Below are 5,436 nucleotides of genomic sequence, written 5' to 3' on the forward strand. Positions count from 1 at the left end.
CTCGGCAGAAACCCTACAAGCCAGAAGAGAGTGGGGGCCAATATTCAACATTCTTAAAGAAAAGAATTTTCAACCCAGAATTTCATATCCAGCCAAACTAAGCTTCATAAGTGAAGGAGAAATAAAATCCTTTACAGACAAGCAAATGCTGAGAGATTTTCTCACCACCAGGCCTGCCTTACAAGAGCTCCTGAAGGAAGCACTAAACATGGAAAGGAACAACCGCTACCAGCCGCTGCAAAATCATGCCAAAATGTAAAGACCATCGAGACTAGGAAGAAACCGCATCAACTAACGAGCAAAATCACCAGCTAACATCATAATGGCAGGATCAAATTCACACATAACAATATTAACTTTAAATGTAAATGGACTAAACGCTCCAATTAAAAGACATAGACTGGCAAATTGGATAAAGAGTCAAGACCCATCAGTGTGCTGTATTCAGGAAACCCATCTCATGTGCAGAGACACACATAGGCTCAAAATAAAAGGATGGAGGAAGATCTACCAAGCCAATGGAAAACAAAAAAAGGCAGGGGTTGCAATCCTAGTCTCTGATAAAACAGACTTTAAACCAACAAAGATCAAAAGAGACAAAGAAGGCCATTACATAATGGTAAAGGGATCAATTCAACAAGAAGAGCTAACTATCTTAAATATATATGCACCTAATACAGGAGCACTCAGATTCATAAAGCAAGTCCTTAGAGACCTACAAAGAGACTTAGACTCCCACACAATAATAATGGGAGATTTTCACACCCCACTGTCAACATTAGACAGATCAACAAGACAGAAGGTTAACAAGGATATCCAGGAATTGAACTCAGCTCTGCACCAAGAGGACCTAATAGACATCTACAGAACTCTCCACCCCAAATCAACAGAATATACATTTTTTTCAGCACCACACCACACCTATTCCAAAATTGACCACATAGTTGGAAGTAAAGCTCTCCTCAGCAAATGTAAAAGAACAGAAATGATAACAAACTGTCTCTCAGACCACAGTGCAATCAAACTAGAACTCAGGATTAAGAATCTCACTCAAAACCGCTCAACTACATGGAAACTGAACAACCTGCTCCTGAATGACTACTGGGTACATAACGAAATGAAGGCAGAAATAAAGATGTTCTTTGAAACCAACGAGAACAAAGACACAACATACCAGAATCTCTGGGACACATTCAAAGCAGTGTGTAGAGGGAAATTTATAGCACTAAATGCCCACAAGAGAAAGCAGGAAAGATCTAAAATTGACACCCTAACATCACAATTAAAAGAACTAGAGAAGCAAGAGCAAACACATTCAAAAGCTAGCAGAAGGCAAGAAATAACTAAAATCAGAGCAGAACTGAAGGAAATAGAGACACAAAAAACCCTTCAAAACATTAATGAATCCAGGAGCTGGTTTTTTGAAAGGATCAACAAAATTGATAGACCACTAGCAAGACTAATAAAGAAAAAAAGAGAGAAGAATCAAATAGATGCAATAAAAAATGATAAAGGGGATATCACCACCGATCCCACAGAAATACAAACTACCATCAGAGAATACTACAAACACCTCTATGCAAATAAACTAGAAAATCTAGAAGAAATGGATAAATTCCTCAACACATACACTCTCCCAACACTAAACCAGGAAGAAGTTGAATCTCTGAATAGACCAATAACAGGAGCTGAAATTGTGGCAATAATCAATAGCTTACCAACCAAAAAGAGTCCAGGACCAGATGGATTCACAGCCGAATTCTACCAGAGGTACAAGGAGGAACTGGTACCATTCCTTCTGAAACCATTCCAATCAATAGAAAAAGAGGGAATCCTCCCTAACTCATTTTATGAGGCCAGCATCATTCTGATACCAAAGCCGGGCAGAGACACAACAAAAAAAGAGAATTTTAGACCAATATCCTTGATGAACATTGATGCAAAAATCCTCAATAAAATACTGGCAAAACGAATCCAGCAGCACATCAAAAATCTTATCCACCATGATCAAGTGGGCTTCATCCCTGGGATGCAAGGCTGGTTCAATATACGCAAATCAATAAATGTAATCCAGCATATAAACAGAGCCAAAGACAAAAACCACATGATTATCTCAATAGATGCAGAAAAAGCCTTTGACAAAATTCAACAGCCCTTCATGCTAAAAACTCTCAATAAATTAGGTATTGATGGGACGTATTTCAAAATAATAAGAGCTATCCATGACAAACCCACAGCCAATATCATACTGAATGGGCAAAAACTGGAAGCATTCCCTTTGAACACTGGCACAAGACAGAGATGCCCTCTTTCACCACTCCTATTCAACATAGTGTTGGAAGTTCTGGCCAGGGCAATCAGGCAGGAGAAGGAAATAAAGGGTATTCAATTAGGAAAATAGGAAGTCAAATTGTCCCTGTTTGCAGACGACATGATTGTATATCTAGAAAACCCCATCGTCTCAGCCCAAAATCTCCTTAAGCTGATAAGCAACTTCAGCAAAGTCTCAGGATACAAAATCAATATACAAAAATCACAAGCATTCTTATACACCAACAACAGACAAACAGAGAGCCAAATCATGAGTGAACTCCCATTCACAATTGCTTCAAAGAGAATAAAATACCTAGGAATCCAACTTACAAGGGATGTGAAGGACCTCTTCAAGGAGAACCACAAACCACTGCTCAACGAAATAAAAGAGGATACAAACAAATGGAAGAACATTCCATGCTCATGGGTAGGAAGAATCAATATCGTGAAAATGGCCATACTGCCCAAGGTAATTTACAGATCAATGCCATCCCCATCAAGCTACCAATGACTTTCTTCACAGAATTGGAAAAAACTACTTTAAAGTTCATATGGAACCAAAAAAGAGCCCGCATCGCCAAGTCAATCCTAAGCCAAAAGAACAAAGCTGGAGGCATCACACTACCTGACTTCAAACTATACTACAAGGCTACAGTAACCAAAACAGCATGGTACTGGTACCAAAACAGAGATATAGATCAATGGAACAGAACAGAGCCCTCAGAAAGAACGCCGCATATCTACAACTATCTGATCTTTGACAAACGTGAGAAAAACAAGCAATGGGGAAAGGATTCCCTGTTTAATAAATGGTGCTGGGAAAACTGGCTAGCCATATGTAGAAAGCTGAAACTGGATCCCTTCCTTACACCTTATACAAAAATCAATTCAAGATGGATTAAAGACTTAAACGTTAGACCTAAAACCATAAAAACCCTAGAAGAAAACCTAGGCTTTACCATTCAGGACATAGGCATGGGCAAGGACTTCATATCTAAAACACCAAAAGCAATGGCAACAAAAGCCAAAATTGACAAATGGGATCTAATTAAACTAAAGAGCTTCTGCACAGCAAAAGAAACTACCATCAGAGTGAACAGGCAACCTACAAAATGGGAGAAAATTTTCGCAACCTACTCATCTGACAAAGGGCTAATATCCAGAATCTACAATGAACTCAAACAAATTTACAAGAAAAAAACAAACAACCCCATCAAAAAGTGGGCGAAGGACATGAACAGACACTTCTCAAAAGAAGACATTTATGCAGCCAAAAAACACATGAAAAAATGCTCACCATCACTGGCCATCAGAGAAATGCAAATCAAAACCACAATGAGATACCATCTCACACCAGTTAGAATGGCAATCATTAAAAAGTCAGGAAACAACCGGTGCTGGAGAGGCTGTGGAGAAATAGGAACACTTTTACACTGTTGGTGGGACTGTAAACTAGTTCAACCATTGTGGAAGGCAGTGTGGCGATTCCTCCGGGATCTAGAACTGGAAATACCATTTGACCCAGCCATCCCATTACTGGGTATATACCCAAAGGACTATAAATCATGCTGCTATAAAGACACATGCACACGTATGTTTATTGCGGCATTATTCACAATAGCAAAGACTTGGAACCAACCCAAATGTCCAACAATGATAGACTGGATGAAGAAAATGTGGCACATATACACCATGGAATACTATGCAGCCATAAAAAATGATGAGTTCATGTCCTTTGTAGGGACATGGATGAAATTGGAAATCATCATTCTCAGTAAACTATCGCAAGAACAAAAAACCAAACACCACATATTCTCACTCATAGGTGGGAATTGAACAATGAGATCACATGGACACAGGAAGGGGAATATCACACTCTGGGTACTGTTGTGGGGTGGGGGGAGGGGGGAGGGATAGCATCGGGAGATATACCTAATGCTAGATGACGAGTTAGTGGGTGCAGCGCACCAGCATGGCACATGTATACATATGTAACTAACCTGCACAATGTGCACATGTACCCTAAAACTTAAAGTATAATAAAAAAAAAAGAAAGGTACCAAGTAGGCTTATGCTTTAAAATGATCATGCACTGGCTGCTGTTTGGAAAACAGACGATAGGAAGACAAAGGTATAGAAATGCACAGACATAGGTACAATGATGGTCACTGTCTCTGTATTTAAAGAGATGAAAAATAAAAACAGCTGAAATATCCACCAATGAGAGTAGGTTAAAGAAATGATGTAACATGCAACCATCTCCTGGACCACTGGGCAGCCCTTCAAAGGAATGAGGCAGAACTATGTGTAATATTTGGAAAGATGCCTATTACATGCTGTTAAGTGAACAAAAAGCCAGTTGTAAAACAAAATGGTAAGATCCCTCTTTTACTAAAAAGAAGAAAACATGTAGAGCACCACACACACACACCCTTTTTTGTGGAAGCATAGAAAATATTAAGCGAGTAATTTATGGTAGACAGAATAATGGAACCCCCAAATATATTCACACCCTAATCCCAGAAACTGTGAATACGTGACCTTATTCACCGTAAATATGTGACCTTATTCAAAGTAAAAAGGACTTTGCAGATATGATTAAGGGTGTGAACCTTATGATAGGGAGAGCATGCTGGTTCACTTAGGTGGATCCAATCAAAGCACATGAGTCCTTAAGAGAGATAAACTTCCCTCGCTGAATCAGAAAGATGGCAGCATCAGAAAGATTTGATGCATTGTTCCTTGTTCTGAGATGTAGGAGGCTGTGTGAAAGAACCACAGGGAGGCCTTCAATAATTAAGGGCAGCCCCTGCAAGACAGCCAGCAATGAAAGGGGGACCTCAGTTCTGCAACAGCAAGGCACTAAGTTCTGCCAACATCTGAATGAGCTTGGAATCCAATTCTTCCCTAAATCCTCCAGAAAAGAACACAGCCCTGCCCATAATTTGACTTTAGCCCTGTAAGACCCATAGCTGACTTATGATCTCTAGAACTGCAATCTGTATTGTTTTAAGCCACTAAGTTTGTGGTGATTTGTTAAAGCAGCAATAGAAAACCAATAATACGTAACCTCAGCCAGCAGGATCTCACAGCAAAAGAGGATCCCAAGAAAAAATTAGAGAA

This window comes from Homo sapiens, chromosome X, assembly GCF_000001405.40.
Source record: "Homo sapiens chromosome X, GRCh38.p14 Primary Assembly".
Taxonomy (NCBI): domain Eukaryota; kingdom Metazoa; phylum Chordata; class Mammalia; order Primates; family Hominidae; genus Homo; species Homo sapiens.